The sequence below is a fragment of the Homo sapiens genome, chromosome 1, assembly GCF_000001405.40.
Source record: "Homo sapiens chromosome 1, GRCh38.p14 Primary Assembly".
NCBI lineage: Eukaryota > Metazoa > Chordata > Mammalia > Primates > Hominidae > Homo > Homo sapiens.
In genome coordinates this window covers 79375046-79395168 of record NC_000001.11, presented here as the reverse complement: position 1 = coordinate 79395168, position 20123 = coordinate 79375046, and the positions used below count along the sequence as shown (strand labels likewise).

At 34.7% G+C, this 20123-nt stretch overlaps 1 long non-coding RNA gene across 2 annotated transcripts in view; it reads right to left on the bottom strand.

The window, feature by feature from the left end:
• Nucleotides 1-20123, bottom strand: part of LOC105378810 (uncharacterized) — a 136420-nt gene that overhangs the window by 9079 nt on the left and 107218 nt on the right. Inside the window, exons 2-3 of one of the 2 annotated variants that reach the window (XR_001738112.2) lie at nt 18038-18152; nt 4787-4834 (exon numbers count right to left, since the gene is read on the bottom strand). This is a non-coding gene — a long non-coding RNA (uncharacterized LOC105378810). The remainder of the gene's footprint in view (nt 1-4786; nt 4835-18037; nt 18153-20123) is intronic. The other variant, XR_001738113.2, reaches the window with a different exon arrangement.

The window sequence follows — 20123 nt, the reverse complement described above, 5'->3', positions numbered from 1 at the left end:
TTGATGAGTCTACATTGACACATCATTATCACCAAAGTCTATAGTTTACATTAGTGCTTATTCTTGATGTTGTACATTCTATGGGTTTGAACAAATGTATAATGACTTTTAGTCACAATTATATTGTCAGAGTTTCAGTGCTCTAAAAATCATCTGTGCTCCACCTATTCATTCCTCCCTGCTAAACTTTAATAACCATAGATATTTTTACTGTTTCCATAGTTTTGCCTTTTCCATAATGTCAAATAGTTGGAATGATAAAGTATTTAGTCTTTTCAGACTGGCTCCTGTCACTTAGTAATATGCAGTCAAGTTTCTTATTTGTATTTAATTTGTTTTATTTTACATTTCCTTGAAAAGCATATGATATGTAACATCTTTTTATATACTTATTTACATCTGTATATCTTCTGTGATAAGATGTCCAGATCTTTTGCCCATTTTTCAATTGAATTGTTCATATTTGTATTGTTGAGTTTTAAGTGTTCTTTTTATATTTTGGTTAACAGTCCTTTATCAGATACATCCGTTGCAAATATTTCCTACCAGTCCGTGCCTAGTCTTTTCTCTTTCTTTACAGTGTCTTTCACAGAGCAAACAATTTTAATTCTAATAAAATCCAGTTTATCAATTATTTCTTTCATGGTTTGTGCCTTTGGTGTTGTATCTGAAAAGTCATTGCCAAACCCAGGATTTTCCTCTACATTATCTTTTGGAAGTTTTATATAGTATTGTGTTTTACCTTCAGATCTGTGACTCATTTTGAGTTAATTTGCGTGAAAGGTGTAAGGTCTATGTTTGGATTCATTTTTTTTACTTATGAATGTACAGCTCTTCCAGCACCATTTATTAAAAAGACCCATATTTTTAATAAATGGTGCTGGATCAACTGGACATTTTGCTCTCTTGTCAAAAATATGTTAACAAAATTGATGTGGTTCTACTTCTGGGCTCTCTGTCCTGTTACATTAATCTGTGTTTATTCTTTCACCAATAGCACACTGTCTTGATTATGGTAGCTTTATAGTCAGTCAGTCTTAAAGTCAGGTAATATCAGTCATCCAACTTTGTTCTTCATCTTCAATCGGGCTATGTTTTTTGAATGATAACTATATATCAAACTACAACATCTCATTAAAAATTTGCTCAAAATTACTTTATTAATTAATGTGTATATGGTGACATATGACATCAGTGTAAATAGCACCACCCATGCATTAATCATAGTATTAATCATTAAGCTTTAACATGTCCATCAAAGCTATAATGGAACATGTCATATAATTCAGTCCCAAACAATTTTAATGACTATTTGAAGACATAAAATTAGAGTAGGTTTCTCAGAAATGAGAGTGCATACACTGCTAAGGAATTCATGTATAAATTAATCTGATTGCTTCTCTAAAATATAGAGATTGATATATTTTAAAGGCTCAAGATGGATTTATTCATTGCAATTCAATTGGCCAGAGATCAATTTGATCTAGTATTTTTAGTCACATTCAAAATTAAACAAATTACTAAAAATGACCAAGGAATCATGCTCTCTTATTAAAACTTGAAGGCAGAGAACTAGACCAGGCACAGTGGCTCACGCCTGTAATCCCAGCACATTGGGAGGCCAGGACCGGCAGATCACCTGAGGTCTCCAGTTCGAGACCAGCCTGGCCAACACAGTGAAACCTTGTATCTATTAAACATACAAAAATTTGCCGGGTGTGGTGACAGGTGCCTGTAATCCTAGTTACACGGGAGGCTGAGGCAAGAGAATTGCTCAAACCTGGGAGGTGGTTGCAGTGAGCTGAGATTGTGCTGAACCAAGGTTGTGCCACTGCATTCCAGCCTGGGTGACAGAGCAAGACTCTGTCTTAAAAACAAAAAAAGGAGAAAAAAGACAGAGAACTAGATACTTTCTTCTGAGGTATGGATCAGAGAACATTTGCTTTTTACTATAAATCTTTGAACTAATTATTTTTAAGTTGTGTTTATGAATTTCAACACATAATTTTTAAAGAAATTCTTAAAGCCCACCTCAAACTCAGAATTCAGTATATACATGTTTGATATGCATACACATGTATATATGTGTATATCTGTGTATATATGTGTATATGTAGTTTTATACAAATTACATGTACTACATATATATTCGTATGTGTGTGTGTGTGCATGTGTGGTGTATGTGTGAGTATGACTGTTGTCTAGGGATTCTGTAACAGCTGATCTTCAAATAGGCCTTTAAGAACTACTGACATATAAAACAGAACGTCTGAATTATGAGAGAAACTTGGATACTTGCTATTCTGTTGTTTTAATGAGATGTAACTGATTTAGGACAGAATCGCTAAATCAAAGTTGAGAGACATAATTCCAAAGATTTTTAATTAATACTTGCATGTACCTATGAGGCCACTGAATGTAAGTTTTATGTTTGAGAAATATGATTTGCTATTACGTAGAATAATAGTTGGAAAAAGAATCCACTAAAACAAATAAGTTCTAATTGGTGGTGGCAGGTTGACATGACCACTGCTTCTCTGACACAGTTCACTTTTGATGATAAGGATTAGTTATTCTCTGTAAAACTAGATCTCAATAAGTCATTACAATGGAGAAGGCAGTGGTGCAGATAATGCAAAACATTAAAATTTCAAACATAATTTGTCCCTGTCTTTGAAAGAGTTCTCTTTCTAATTATATTTGTTTGGCAATGCCTAAATTAGCTTGTATTTCCTAGATAAATAGCCACTGACAAGGAATTTGAGTATATGTTGCTAGACCAGTCTCTGCTTGACTGAATAGGGGAATAATTCATTAAGATAATCTATGTAGGAACAAGAACATGTTGCCCATATTTTTCTTCAGAGCCCTTAATTTTTTATAGATATCATAAAATGTGAGCTGTTGCTGATTTTGTAACACTTTCTTCCAAAGAGATCAAGGTTAGTAATATATGTCACAGAAATAATAGGCTGGCAATTAATCTCTAGTAGTGAGGAAAAAGCAGTGGTATTCCTGTAATGTGATCTGGGGACACAAAATGGATCACGTAGCTATTCCCTCCAGCAACTCATGACTACACTCCTAGTTTAAACAAAGCAAAAAAAAAGTGTAAGGCGATGACAGAACAATATGAGTCCATGTTGAATAATTGTTAAGGTCATGGACTTTGGACAGGTTTTACCTTAAATAAATTACCTTATCTCTCTAAATCTCAGTTTCCACACTGGAGAAAATAATTATAATTTTACTTATTCTATGTAGTTATTTTGAGGATTTACACAGATGAGCCTGTAAAACATACAGCATTGTACCTGTCACATGGTAAGTGCCCAGTAAATGTTGTACATATTATTCATGGTTGTGTAAGTGCTCTGAAGATGTAAGGGAGTGATTTATGTTGTCTAGGCAAATTGTACAGAAAATGTGATATGAGAGTTAAGTTTTGAATGATAAATAGGATATTTGCAAGTGAAGATGAAAGAAAGGGCATTTTTTTTTTTTTTTTTTTTTTTTTTGAGACAGAGTCTCGCTCTGTCTCCCAGGCTGAAGTGCAGTGGCGTGATCTCGGCTCACTGCAAGCTCTGCCTCCTGGGTTCACGCCATTCTCCTGCTTCAGCCTCCCAAGTAGCTGGGACTACAGGCGCCCACCACCACGCCCAGCTAATTTTTTGTATTTTTTTAGTAGAGATGGGGTTTCACTGTGTTAGCCAAGATGGTCTCCATCTCCTGACCTCGTGATCTGCCCACCTCGGCCTCCCAAAGTGCTGGGATTACAGGCGTGAACCACCGCGCCCGGCCAGAAAGGGCATTTTTGATGAGAACACATGGGCACAAAGAAACAACAGACCCTGGGACCTACTGGAGGGTGGAGGATGGGAAGAGGGAGAAGATCAGGAAAATAACTACTGGGTACCAGGCTTAATACCTGGGTGATGAAATAATCTGTACAACAAACCCCTATGACACGAGTTTACCTATATAACCACCCCCCATGAGTCTACCCCTATAACAAACCTGCACATGTACATCTGAACCTAATAGTTTAAAAAGGGAATTTTTATGGCAAAAACGATTATGTAAAATGTGTGACAGAACTTCATGTTGAGAAAAATGAGTAGTCTGTTGTGGTTAGAGTGAGAATATATTCACTGGGGAAGGGTTAACAGGAAAAGAAGCTGCCTTCCAGAGATTAATGCAGAAAAAAAACATGCAGAGTATAAACAGTATGTATGCCAGCAAAATACATCTGTGTGATTGTGTGGACCTGAATAGTATTAATATGTATTGTGGCAGGAAAAAATGTTACATGTTTACAATACCGTGATTATTATCCATAGTGCAGTTACATTTTTCAGCCTCTCTTCCAGGTGGATTGAGGCTATGTGACAGTTCTGTGGATGAAACTGATGCAACATCATCCAGTCATAACCTGTAAAAACATCTCTCAAAATTTTCTAGTTTTCTTTTCCCCTGCCTCTGTAGCCTTTGAAGCCGAAGTTGGCAGAGATTAAGGCTGAAAGAGGGTCAATCAACCTCTCCATCCTATAACATTATAGGAAAAAAAAAAACAGAAATAAAACAAAACAAGACACATTTTATTACAGAAAGCCACAGAGTGCTTGAGGATTGTCATTTGTGACAGCTAGCTTACTATAGACAAACACACACACATGCACACACACATATATATACTCGCAGTCCTTACTTACGAAAACTTTAAAAATTTTCCTAGGTTAATAATATGTCCTAATAATCCACAGTTTAGCAAGACAAGGATACTCACTTTTACCACTGCTCATCAACGCTGTACTGGAAGTTCTTGCCAGAGCAACTGAATAAGAAAAAGCAATAAAAGGCAAATAAACTAGAATAAAACTATTTATATTCACATGTGATATGGCCTTATATATGTCTTATATATAGAAAATTATAAATAATTCACAAGTAAGCTGCTAGAACTATGAAATCAATTGAGCAAAGTTTTAGAGTACAAGTTCAGCATGCAATAATGACTAGTCTCTCCTCACCAGCAATGACTAATTCATAAAGAAAATTAAGAAAGCACTTTCATTTACAATAGCACCTAAAAGAATAAAAACCTAGAAATAATTTATCAAAAAAGGGAAAAGCTCATGTGCTGAAAACTACATGATATTGCTGAAATAAATTAAAAGACACCTAAATATTAATAAATAGAAACATAGCTTATGCTTATGGATAAGAAGAAGGCTTAATATTGTTAAGATAGCAGTAATACCCAAAGCCATATACAATGGCAATGCAATCTCCCTCCAAATTCTAGCAGGTTTTTCTGCATAAATGGAAAAATTGATCTTCAAATTCACAGAGAATGGCAAGGGGCTCCAAATAGCTAAAACAATCTTGAAAAAGAAAAACTAAATTGGAGGACCTATGCTTCTTGATTTCAAACCTTACTACAAAGGTATGGTAATTAAAATAGGGAAGTACTGCTATAATGATAGACATATGAACCAAAAAAAATTGAGAGTCCAAAATAAACCTATATATCTATAGACAATGGATTTTGTTTTTCACTCAATGGGGAAAAAATAATCTCTTCAACAGCTGGTGTGAGATGACTGGATTTCCATACACAAAAGAATGAAGTGGAACCTTATCTTGGGCTCTATAAAACATTAATTCAAATAGGTCAGTGACCTAAACCTAAGAATTAAGCCATAAAACTCTTAGAAGAAAACGTTGGAGTAATCTTCATGACCTTGAATTTGGCAATGAATTCTTCAATATGACAACAAAGACATGAGCAACAAAAGGAAAAAATAGACTGAACTTCATCAAAATTAAAAACATTGGCATATGAAAGAACATTATCAAAAAGGTGAGAAAACAATCCACAGAATAGAAAAAATATTTTAAAATTGTACATCAGATAAGGGTTTACATTTAGAATATATAAAGAATTCTCACAACTCAACAACAAAAAGGCAAACAATTCAACTTAAAATTGGGCAAAAGCGCTGAATAGACATTTCTCCAGAGAAGCATAAAAATGGCCAATAAGAATATTAAAAATACTCAGTATGATTGTCATTAGGGAAATACAAGTCATAACCACAATGAGATATCACACATCTACTAGAAAGGCTATAATTAAAAAAAAAAAATCAGAAATTAACAGGTGCTGGAGTCATGTTATCAGACCAGTGAGCAGGTCTATCCCATTGAAACACACCAAATTCTTTGTTTTGACTAATCCTTGAGTAATGCGAGCAAACATAATTTTTCATGCTCTTTTGTGTGCTTTTGTTTATGAGCTTCATAAGAGGAGAAATCAAGCCTGCTTTTATTTCTCATGAATATCTGGCATCTAGCACAGTGCCTAGAACAAATAGGCTCTTAGTAATAAGTTTTTGAATGAATGCATTAAACATATTCAGAAATTGTCTAAATCTTCTACACGAAAAAAATATTGTATTTAATGTAAAGGTTAAGCTACCTGTAAAAATCATTTCTTTCCAAAAAATTGAAATAGACACTAAAATTTCAGACAAAAAAACCTACAAAAACTAAACCCATTTGCGGGATTGCTATGGCTATTGGTGTTTATTCAATGTTCTCATACTGTCATGTTTCCATGCTTTGAAAAGCTTTTACTATTTTTTATCATCGTTTGAAGTAAGATACCTAGTATATTTTATTCTATAATTTTAAACTAGTTTATCTCTCTATATAAGTATGTGTCTAATATGGTATACATATGTGTCCCTAACAAATCTCATGTCAAATTGTAATTCTTAATGTTGGAGGTGGGGCCCGGTAGGAGATGATTGGATCACGGGGGCAGTTTCTCTAGAATGGTTTAGCACCATCCCCCTTGGTACTGTTGTTGCGATAGTGAGTTCGTTATCACGATATTTGGTTAAAACTGTGTAGCACCACCTCCCTTGTTGCTCCCACCATGTTAGATGCTTCACTGTCCCTTTGCCTTCTGCCGTGGTTGAAAGCTTCCTGAGGCCTCCCCAGAAGCAGAAGCTGCTATGCTTCCTATATAGCCTGCAGAACCACGAGCCAGTTAACCCTCTTTATACATTATGCCATCTCAAGTATTTATTTATAGCAGTGCAAGAATAGCCTAGCACAGTACTTCTGAAGCAATTGTCCTTACTTATGTATGTCATTAAATATAGAGAAAGCAACTCATTCATGGGCCTGTGATTTCATAGTTTTAAGCAAAAGCTGAAGGTTTTAACCATAATAACTTTTTTTTCAATATATTTTCAACTATTCCTTTTCCAAATCCTCTTTTGAGGGCTTTTAAGAATATAGGTTGTAAAAGTAATAAAACTCTACAACTGTATTTTTGATTCTTTAGAAAGGATATTCCAACCAATTCTTGTAGTGCACATAATTTTCTCTGCTCTGATATGAGACTAAAATTTTGCCCGTATATATTTTTTTACGGCTTAAAAAGAAAATGTTACCCCCACTGAATGTGGTGACAGGTTTTCTCTCTTTCCCCCACCAACATTACTATCTCTATCTATTGCTCTATAAAACTATAAAATATCTGTCTCTATAAATTATATTACAGGCCTATTCTTACTATTGCCTTATAATCTTACATGTCCCAAGTCCACTGTCATCACACTGTCTCCCTCACTCTCTAATAACTATTTCACATTTCTTCTTGCCCTCAAACTCCTGCACTTCATTCCACATTCTGTTTCTCTGGTGATGATCTGGTTTACAATTTCACTGAGAAAACACCAGCAAACAGAAGATAATTCCGAAATCTCCTACCACTTCAGTTATCCTCCAATCTCCATCAAGGTCCATATTTCCTGTCTTCCTTCCTGTTATTTTGTGTGAACTTTTCACACTGCAAATCTAAGGTCATCCTTCCATGAGTGTCCTCTCATCTACTTAAGGACAAAGAACCAACAATTCTGCTTAACCTGTTTAGATTCTCAATTTTTCTCTCTGCATTGTATAATTTCTGTTAGCGTATAAACATACCCTTATAAGGAAAAACTCATCTTTCAACTTCCTGATCCCCTCAACCAAATACTTCCCTTTGCTTCTGCCTTGTAATATAAACATTTTTTAAAAAGCGATCTAGACTGACTACCTCTAGCTCTTCTCATCAAAGTGGCTCATGAAAACATCCCAATAAGCTTTCTTCCTCATGACTCCACTGAAGCTATACTGATGGCTTTCATGCTGGGGTGGCCAAGTCTTATCTGACAACTTCTTGCACTGTCAGCAACATTTGCCATAATTGGTAACATCCTCCTTGTGGCTTTGGCATCCAGGCACTACACTCTCCTGTTTGTTTGTTTTTTTTTCCTCTCCTATCTCTTTGGCCTTTCTTTCTCATCTTCTTTACTTGTTTCTTCTTCTTCCTCAACCCATAAATCTTAAAGTGTTTCAGGGCTCCCTCCACTGAGAGTCCTATTCTTTTCTCTGTATTACAGCCTTATTGATTTCATCGTGTCTTATGAATGAATGCCATCCATATGCCTTATGACACTCAATCTGTATATCATGTTGTAGTAGCTAACTTTTAAAACTGGCCTTTCCTGAGCCACTTCTACTGATATTCTCATTCTTGCATAACTCTCTCCCCATGAATCTCGGCCCACCCTGGAAATTACTCTCAACAAGTAGAATACAGCAGATGTGAGGCTGTGTAACTTCCGAAGTTAGGCTATAAGAAGCCTTATAGCTTGCATTTGGACCAATCCCTTGCTCCTGGGATCTCTTTCTTGGAACCCAGCCTCCATGCAAGCCAAAGCCACAAGGAAAGATCACGTGTAGATGCTCTATAAATAGCCCTGGCTGAATCCTAGCTTACAGCTAGCATGGACTGCACACCATGTGAATGGGTCCTTCACCTGTCTAGTCAAGCCTTCAAATGACTCCAGTCTCTGTCTTCATTTAACTGCAGCTACGAGATACTCAAAACAAGAAACACTAAGCTGAGCACAGACAATGTACAGAATTGTGAGAAGTAGTAACAAATTATTATTGGAAGCCACTAAATTGGGGTAGTTTGTTATGCAGCAATAGACAACATAGGTCACCTGAACTCCCCACTCAGATATCCAACTATTCATCTAGTATCTCTACTTGATGTCTAATAGACATGCCAAAATCAGCATTTCTAATATAAACTCCTGATCTTCCACCAACAAACATAAATATCTTACAACTTTTCCCATCCAGTTGAATGGCCACTTTATAATTACAGGTACTTAGGTCAAAAATTTCATTTTCATCATTGATTCCTCTTTCATTCACATGGGTAATCCAATCTGATGATAAATCCTGTTTGTTTTCCCTTCAAAATGCAATGAGAATCTAGCCATATTTCATCCCTGCCATTTCAACCTCATATAATATTATAACAATCTCCTCTTTGCCTACTCCATTCCAGATACCTTGGAATACTCCATATATTCTCATGCCTTAAAGCTTTTGAACTTGTGTTTCTCCACATTTAAGCATACCCACTCTCTCAGCTACATTGTCTTTGCTCAAATGCCATTTTGTTTCCAGTGAAGCTTTTCCTAAACAATCAATTTAAAATTACAAGCCCTCTATTCCCAAAATATCACCATTTCACCATCCCATCCTTCTTTTATCATGGTATTTCCTCCAAGCTGACATACTATATATTTTCATTAATTATTCAGTATGTGACTGTTTATTACCTGGCTTCTCATAAGCTCTACAAGGACACGGATTTTAAATGCTGCATCTCCACTACTTAGAATAGTAACAGCAATGGAGAAGGTTCTCAGTAAATACCAATGCAATTGGGGAATAAATAAGATTCCTTCTTCTTGTTATTTTAATGTATTCAGTTAAAGAAAATTATGTTTTGGTTTAAATTTTCTTTTGTAATTCATAAGTTAAAATTATTGACCGAATTAATTGCAGTAATGAGAGAAAAGAATGTTTGACAAAGATTGGTAGAGATGAAGCCAATTTTCTGCAACTTCTATCCTCAGTGTGTGTCATATTTTTAAAAGACACTTAAATGTATGTTAGAAATAATTAAATTAATTTTTAACCAGACAACCCAGCACATGCTTGTAGGGAGTCATACAATTTAAAGCAAATTTACATTTTAATCCAGCCTGTGTTTCTTACATTTACATGTGTATCTTATTTCTTTTACGTTTCTATCCTGAGTCCGTAATCTTCACCTTGATGTAATATTTCATCTTTAATAATCTATTGCTAGGACAGCTCACACATACACACATACACGCACTTACACACACACACACACACATACTCACAGGTTTAGGAAACATCTTTGGTGGTGGGAAATTGAAATTTGGAATAAAAAATTAAATGTTGAAATATATTCATGAAATTTGAAGAAAATACATGGAAGAATATAAAATATCGAATAACTGCTAATACTTTAAAGCTAGGAAAGATAACAAATAAGTTCAAACTAGACTCCTAATACAGTGACTTTAACCAATAAAATGAAGATTAATAAGGACAAATATCAAGTGATGGCATTCTGTTTAGTAAAAACAATTCTACAAGTATGAAAAGGGAAAGTGTGGATTAGCAACGATCTAAGACATAAGGGTTTAAGAGACCACAAACACAAGAGAAATGTTATGTTACTGCGCATGAAAAAGTAAACTTACTCCTAAGCTATATTAATGAAAGAGATTGAGGGAGGTGACCATGATACTCTGCTTTGTTCTTGTCAGGACCTACCTATAGTGTGTTTCTCAGTTATTGAAATATAGACAGAGCCAACTGAAATGCGTTCAGAGGTAATAGTTCAGTATGTTAAGTGGACTTGAAATGATGTCAAATGGGAAATTTTGAACAGGTCAGGAGGATGCCTAACACACACACACAAAGATATAAAGGGTTCAATCTCAGTTGCTACGTTCAAGTACATAAAGTGCTGTGCTTTCTAGAGAAGAATGAACAGTTATTCTAAGGCCACTCATGTGTAGAAAGAGTATTAATGATTCCATAAGGTACCATTATAGGAGACAGATCATTTGAAAAACCTTCCATTTCCAAAACCCTTAGTAAATTATAACAAGCTTTCTTTAAATGTGCTGATGTCAAAATAAGAAAATTAATTTCTTGGGGACTAAAAAAAAAAAGCAGAATTCTGAAGCCAGAGTTTTAAATGAACATGGAAGTTGTGGTACCCCTGGGTGAAAATGGACACTAAGAGCTACAGTTGTGTGTTAAGTATAACACTTGGGAAAAATTAGATGAGACTCTGATCCCTAAAAGGTAGGGGAAGGAGATGAAGGAGAGGATTCCTTTTCACCACACAAAGTTAGATACCTCAATAGTGTCTCCCTCTCATTGAAGGTGATGATGCTATATATATTCCGTTTGTAGCAAGGAGAACTAAAGAGAAAGCATGTCGGTTGCCAAGGTACAGCTGGGAAATTAATCACAGAAATAGCAGTAAGAGCCTGCTCTGAGAATTGTGATTATAGGCCTAATCTCATGTGAGTCTGTTTATTATAGTGACCAGGAAAAGACTATAGTCTAAGAAATTCCAAGATAATAGATCGAATTAAAAACATATTATTTCAATGGAAACAAACACATTTACACTCAAGAGGGAAGCCTGTCAATTTAGGCTCCATGGGATTTTTATGGATTAAGTCCAGGTAAGTATGAACTCACAATAGAAAGAAAAATATCAAGCACACAAGGAAATAAATCACCATGAGTGAGAAAAATATTAAAAGCAGAAACAATAAATACTAGATTTAGATCCCCAAGGGCTTCAGATATTAGAATCATCAAACACAAAACATAAAGTATTTACAAAAATATTCAAAGAAATAAATGATGGAGTCCAAAACATGAGCAAGGAATCAGAGACTATCGGAAATGCTTAAGCAGATTTGAAAAAAAGATCAAATAAAACTACTGGAAATAAATTACACAATCATTGAGGTTAGAAACATTGTATAAGATTTAAGAATCAGAGTAGACACAGCTGTCTAGAGAATTTGTGACTATCATATGTAGCAGAATAAACCAACAATGCAGTAGAAGAAATCAAATGGATGAAAAATATAAAAAAGAGATTACAGAAGTAACAGGAAGCAAAGAGACGAGAGTCCAGAGACATAATTTATTTGTAATCAAAGTCACAGAAGAATAGAAAAGAGAAAGAGAATGGAGAAAAGGCAATGTCCAGGAAGTTAATAGATGAGAATTTTTCAGAACCAATTAAGAAATACACTTTCAATTTCAAAAATTCCAATGAATTCTAAGTGGAATAAGTAAAAACAGACTCAAATCAATACTCATTTATACTAAACATCAGAATAGCTCCCTGCTCCCATTCTCAAACATTTAAAATCCTTCCAAGAGTGAGGCATGGTGGCTCAAACTTGCCATGTCAAAACTTTGGGAAACTGAGGCAGGAGAATCACTTGAGCCCAGGAGTTCAGGACCAGCCTGGGCAACATGGAGAGACCCTGTTTCTAAAAAAATAAATTAAAAAAAAAAATAGCCAGGTATGGTGGCATGAACCTGTTATCACAGCTACTGGGGAGGCTGAGCTGGGAGGATTGGTTGAGCCCAGGAGGTTGAGGCTGCAGTGAGCCATGTTCATGCCACTGCACCCCAGCCTGGGCAACAGAGCAAGACCATCTCTCAAAAATAAATAGATTAATAAATAAATAAAATCTCTTTGAGAATGATGAATAAAAAATAGAATTTCAACAGCTATAATGTAAGTAACCAATAGGCATCAGAGCAACGGCTTTAAAGTGGCAAGAAAGAATTAAAAAGTCATCCTAACACTGTGTACTCAGAAACATTATATTTCACCAAAAAGATAAAGAAAACACACTGTCTGGTTTTTTTAAGAGTGTTATTGCCAAACTATCTCCCTAAAAATACTTTGGGAAAGAGTTCTTGGAGAATATGTAGAATCAATATTGTAAGAATATCCAAAATCTGGAGATACTGAGTCCAGGATCAGTGGATCTAGTTCAGGAATGCTATGAAATTGAGGCATGAGAATAGTAGCTATGCACTAAAACTGGAAATCAATTCTTTTGTATAGAAAACATACAGCCAAGGGACTCTGGGAAGAATGTCTTCAGGAAATAAGTAGATTTTCAATTAGAGGTGAATATTCTTGAGGCTTTGGGGAAGACTTGTGGTCCTTATATAAACACAGAAAAAAAATGAAAGCCATTAGAAATTCCAGTGTTCTTTTTTTTTAAAGGATTTACTAAACAATCATGGTCTACATATGAAACTAAAATTTTGCATCATATGAAGCAATTCAGTAGAAGTAAAAATTGTGTAAGGCTTTAATATTTGAAACAGTCTCTTTCAAGTTGCCTAAGATGAGTAATATTCAACTCATAGATTAACTAAAATCCAGTCACACTATTTTACTATTTATTTGCATAGTAAATATTTTTTCATGACTATACTAATTGTATTAATCATTAGACATTAGTTTATAGTCCTCTGCAGAAACAGTCCAATAGGGCAATAGGGTATGTGTGTGTGTATGTGTGTGTGTAATAGGGAATTAGCTCACACAATTACAGAGGCTGAGAACCCCCAAGATTTTCATTCAGCAAACTGGAGACACGGAAGAGCTAATATGTAGTTCTAGTCTGAGACCAAAGGTTTCAGAACCAGAAGAGCTGATAGTATAAATTGGTTTGGAAGCTGAAAGACTTGAGACCCAAGAAGAATTGTTTCAGTTTAAATCAGAAGACCTATGTTCCAACTCAAAGTAATCAGGCAGGAGGAGTTCCCTCCTACTCAGGCTTTTTGTTCGATTCAGGTTTTCACTTGATTGAATGGGGCTCATCCACATCAGTGAGGACAATCTGCATTACTCAGTCCATAGAGTCAACTTTTAATCTGCACCTTCACAGATACATTCAGAATGATGTTTGACCAAATGTCTGGGCACCCCATGGCCCAGTCAAGTTGACACATAAAACTAATCACCGCCACAACAAAAATGGCTTTATTTTTTAAATTACTGAATAAAACCCAGAAGACTTAATTGTGGTTACAGAACATAATATTCATGCTATGCACAAAATATTTATGCATCTGCATTACATTACTCTTAAAGAAAATTCTTTATAAGTGTCTTTAACTTAAAATGGGAGAAAAAAGATTTGACTTGAGTGCTATCCTTAAACTCTCCTAATATTTCTCTGAAGCTTTCTTCTTGGGTTGTTTTCTGTGTCTTAGAATGTAACGCTCACTCCAGGTAGAACAGCTAGGATTGAAAACCATCTATGTGCTTAACCACCAGTGTTTTTCTACATATAATGCTCACTTATGTGGCTTCCTATGTTCTGACAAAGATATATGTGAAAGGGTATGACTCAGTCCTTCAAAGAGTAACATCATACTTTGATGTGTGAATGAATGGTCTAAACACAAGAGACTGGGTGCTTGTGTATGTGGATGTGCAGAAAGAAGATTATATCAACTAATAAATCTTTATGCCAGTATATTTCTGATGAATTTGTCCAAGTATATATCTCTAAGATATTCCTTTTTCAAATATACATTGGAATACTATTTGCCTTTAATTTCATTTTAAATAAATTTAAGCTCAACAAACACATACCCAGTGTGAAAATATATCCAAATCAAAAATAATTATTATTCAAAATTGCATTACCTAAGTTCAACAACACATTATTTGAAAACATTTATTTCTAGATCTCCTTCTTGCCTACAAGAACATTTGTAGTATTTTAAAAATAGTGTATACTGTATTTACAAGTTGGCATCATGATTTTAATGGAAAATAATAATCCTCTGTGATTTTAAAATACACTTAACCTCAGATCCCAGTCAAGACCAATTAAATCAGAATGCCTGGAGGTGGCGCTACTCATATTTATTCTTCTATGTGCACCCTAGCTGACTGTAAAGTGTAGCGAGGGTTAAGAATCACTGAAGGAACACATAAGCATTGTCCATGTCATTAAACAGTTTTCAAAAACATCACTTTAAATAAGTATGCATACTGCATGGGCACAGCAAAATTTATTTTAAATTCCCTTAGTTTGAATATTTGCGTTATTTTCAATTATATTTTTATATGTGAATAGATCCATTTATATAAAAAATCCTAATCTTCCCAGGTACTGATTATCATATAAAGATACATATGTCTTAGCCTTTTAAGCAGGAGTTAAATTATGAAAGAAATCAAATACCCTGAGGTGACACATATTGTTCTTTGAGTTTTTTTGGCCCTTGATTAACTGACAGCAGCTGGGGGATATAAAAGGAAAAAAAAAAATCAGAAGAACTGAGCATCATTGCTAGATTTTATAATTTTTTTTTGCTAAAAATTTAAAGTCAATTCATTATACCTTTAAGAAGGCTTCACTATCTCTCTTGTGTTTACTGTTTTGTATATTATGTATATGAATATATGTAAATAAAATAAATTTTAATTGAGTAGGGTTTGGGTGTGGAGGAGTTGGAGATTTTTATAACTTAGTTCTTCAGAATTTTGAAGACTATTAACTACATACAACTCATGGAAGAATAATTTAAGAAATAGAAAAAAATCACACTGTATTTGATTGGAGGAGTTGTGATGAAGAGAGGTATTTTGTCAAAATCCAATTCAGACTTCCCTATGGAAAATTAAGACAGTTGGGATTAGATAGTATCCACTTATCCAATTTCTGCCTCACTGTGTCTTTTTTATTTGAATTAATCTGGGTAATGAACACCCAAACCAAATTATTGTGGGTTGATTACCCATGAAAAGTGGGTTAATTGTTTAATAGCCATGGGTGCAAGTGGGTATAGGTATTTTAATATACATAAACTTCTAATTGGCATATATGAGAGTAGCATAAAATACATATACAATGAAATCAACATTGCAGTTTCATATTAAAAGTTGATTAATCTTGTTAGAGTAATTTAATTATCTGTAAAATTGGTTTCTAAATACTGGAAAAACAGTCATCTATTATAGCTGCTTCTGTTTTAAAAAAAGAAAGATAAATGTTTTTTGAGTTCTAAACAAATACATCTTAATTTTGAGAAAACATTGGAAGAAAAGAGACATTTAATGCTATTTACAATCAAAGGCAAACGTAACAAATGGTTGTTTCCATCATCAGCTCAGCTTATTATCAGACTTGCTTACAGTTAGATGCAGTCATCCACATTCCTGTGCAGTTTAAAGTGAAAGCTACATAAAAGTTTCCATTTCTGAGGAAGAAGATGGCATCTAACTGAGGCAATGCTGCCTAGCATCTACATCCTTTGGGCAAGAAAAATGCATCCGATCAAGAAACACAATCTGCAGCCATGTTTTCTAATTTACTTTCTAAGGCCATTAAGGGAAAGACCTTATTAGGAAATAGCTGCCAGAGCCATTATGTTCCTTTCGCTTTCAGTAAAGGTGCACAGGATTTCGATGAAAAATGTCAGCATTCAGCTTTCCCTTCATGGTAGAAGCAATGGACCAAATTAAAAAATTTGGTGAATGGATCCATTACATTACGCCTCTTCTGAAGGAAAAAAACCAACACAAGGGAATTACAAAATAACAACCACCACCAAAAAGAATAGAGACCACAAGAGTAAGCATGCTGTACCAGCAGGGAAGATGCAAACATGGGCAAAATGTTATTATAAAGTTCACGAAGTTAACAATGAGGGCAACCAAAAGACTCTACTTGATTGTGAAATCATCACTAATTCTCATTTCTTTCCTTGTCTTATTATCCTCCTTTCTTCAACTAATACTTCGGTTGATTCCTTTTGCTTCTTATGGAAATCTGGGCTACAGCCTAGGGTTGCTTTTTGCATTCTTAAAAAATAAAGAAAGTGATATATTTTCCTTTAAAATTAATTTCAGAGGGCAAATCCTGGTAATTCCTAATTGAGAGGCATCATTTTGACATCCATCATTTCTACACGGCCCAACACGGTCCTTTAGCTGAAAGGTATTGAAAGACAACAATATCTCAGAAATCTTGATAAGCCCAATTTTTGGTGAAAACCAGAAAGAACCTACTTGCCATGCATGGGGTGCCTGTTTCTTTTGTAAGAACCAGCGTTTTAGCTCAGTCTCACTACTCAGCAGCCTTCAGATGATACTTGGCCCTGTGGCACACAAAGATTTAATTACAGCTTATTTGCCTTTACATCCTCCCCAGTGCATTAAAATATAGGGTTCACAGCAAAGTCACCTTTCTACAATATGCCTGGGAAAGAGCCAGACCTGAGAACCCTTCACAACTGGCCATAAAGCTAAAATAGAAACAGTAAGAGCAAAAAATTACCTACAAATGCTGACATCTAAAAGAAGCCAGAGACTTCTAAGAAGATGAAAGAGGTGGTCATTGGGGAGTTTCAGACAAATTTCACCAAGAAAAACAGAAAACAAAGCATCAGAAAGAGTAGGACTGGGCAGACTGTGCATGGGATTTCATGAACCTTACCCAAGATAGTGGTCCGGTCAGAGGAGGGCCCGGACTGCTCAGCTCAGCTTCTCTCTGCATACTAGACAGATGACATTCCTTCATGACAAGATGTATTCCCAGTTGTATATATTAATTTTGATGCTTGCCTGGAGCCACAATTTCTCATTCTCTGTCAACCAGTGTGGTTAATTATGTACAGTAATATTTAAATTACAATTCTGATTATTTTTGAAAGATAATTAGACTAAGAAAAAGAAGGAGACTGAGTTGCAAGGAAGGTTGCTTCAAAGGTTCTTGTTATGTAGGAAGACAATATATTTTCCCAGAAGTGAGAATCATTTGTGGTACGACTGGGCCGTGGGGAGACTGCAATGAACGCTTTGGAACCATGCACTCATTTTAATTAAGGAGGGGCCATCTGGTTCAGGCAACAAAAAAAGAAGAAAAAAAAAAGATAAACTATTAGATGACTTGTCAACTCTTGAGTTACATATGCACTTCCCAAATAAATTTTCTTGTATATTTTTGTCTTTTTTCGGAACTTCCATTTTGCCCAAAACCTAAAAAGGACTTCTTACCTTGTTCATATTCTTCATTCATTCAGATTCTGAAATGCATTTGATCCAAAATCATATTGTTAATATTCAGATATTTCATTGTTTCAGTGTCTCTACTGATTCTCCTTCAGAATTACTGTAAAGTATCAGATAAGGCAGTGTTGTGGACATTTGGTTAATTTTTTTCCCAACAATAGAGCTATTCATGTAAATTTAACACATGCATTCACATAATTATTGAACCTATTAGTAGATGGATTCGTGCCAACTAGGGAATAAACATTCAATTAAAAGAAATTAGCTCTTAATGTGTTTCTTTGTCAATACCAAATACATATTTGGCATGAGTCAATAATTTATTTTTATTTTAAAATCTGTTTTCACTCATTTTGCAAACACGCAATAATAGAGGCAAATAGCCATAAACAGTCAAGTCATATATTCAAAGAAAGACCTCAAGAATTAAAACATATGCTAGGATGCAGCAATATCTCCAAAATTCATCTACTTTCTTTCCTCATTCTCTTTCTCTTTCAATCTCCTTCCTTCTTTCCTTCCTTCCTTCCTTCCATTTTTCCTTCCTGCCTTCCTTCCTTCCTCTTTTCCTTCCTTCCTTCCTTTTTTCTGTAAACACATCACACATTTGGTATTATTTCAGTGCAAGTTTAACTATTGAAGAAACAAACAAAAATAGTAACAGGAGAAGCAAGTAACTGTGGTTTCACTCATTGTGATAAATACTATTTCACATGGATATTTTTCTATTGAGCTGGAAATTATCATTGGAAAATACAATTAAGTAGTCTATTCTAGCTGTTCAATGTTTCAAGAAAGCTGGATAAAGGCCAGATTCCTGTAAGACACTGAGTAACACACCAGGAAGTGGCTATCAACAACTTTTATTGTCATGTAAAATCAACTAAATTTTCAAAACACCAAATGTATTTTAAAGTATTGGAAATAGTATAGCATAGTGGTTAAAGTACTGAGTTTGTCTTCGGACAGATTCCAGTTTTAATATTAGGGTCAACACTTAATAGTGGTGTGACTGCATAAATTACTTAGTTGTGTCCATTTTTTAATCAGCAAAGTGGTATATAAACTGCTTTGTTCTGAGGACTAAATGCATAATGTACAAAATGCTCACTATAAGGCCTGGCTCATTTAATCAATAACTATATTATTATTTATTTTATCATTATTATTATCTCAAAATTGAAACAACTATTCTACTTATTCAAAAATCATAGGCAATTCCTCCATGTGCATAAATAACTACCTAATGGTGATTTTTTTTCAACATAATCCAATCCAATGTAACTTAAGGGAGATAGACCCGTCTGTTTTCTTAATTCTCAATAAGACACTCTGGATTTCTTTAAATGCAGGATTTGGGAATACAGTAATGCCTTTAATGGTTAAATAGACTCATGACTAAATCAATACTAATGCAAAAGAAACAGGGTGTGTGACTAGAGGCAGAAATGTAATCTTTACATCCCATTGATTATGACTGATTTCACAAAGAGCAAGAAACTGTTGGCTCTTTTGAAGTGGATGGGTTAACTTCTATAACCAATAGGGGATAATCTCTTGCTCTGTTGACCTTTGCAGAATGGCTTGCAAGGAAATGCTCAGTCCCCAGATAATGCTTACAACATGCCTGACTCTTGTCTAGAGAAGAAGATAATCAACAGAGTCAGAGGATTAAAAAAAAAAAAAAACTTTAACAAATGTTTCATGATGTTTATAAAGGATGATTCCCATCAAATCGTTTGATAATAAAATAAATTGCATTGGAAGCATTTAAAACAACATGTATAATAGTTTATTTATTGTTGATGACCTCATGAAAATATCCTAATGCCCTTTGGGAAGTAGTTACCCTCACTGGGGTTATTACAGGGGTCAGATAGGACTCTAAATTAACTTGATTATTCTTACCTAAAATATCTTGTTTCCTGTGAGTTATTCAATTCCAATTTTCATTTTAAAATACCAATCTTGTATAGAAGTTTGTTTTTTGAGATATTAAAACACTCCCCAAATAGACAACATGGTTTCTGACAGCTAGAATCTATATATTCTACGTTTATAAATTTTGCTG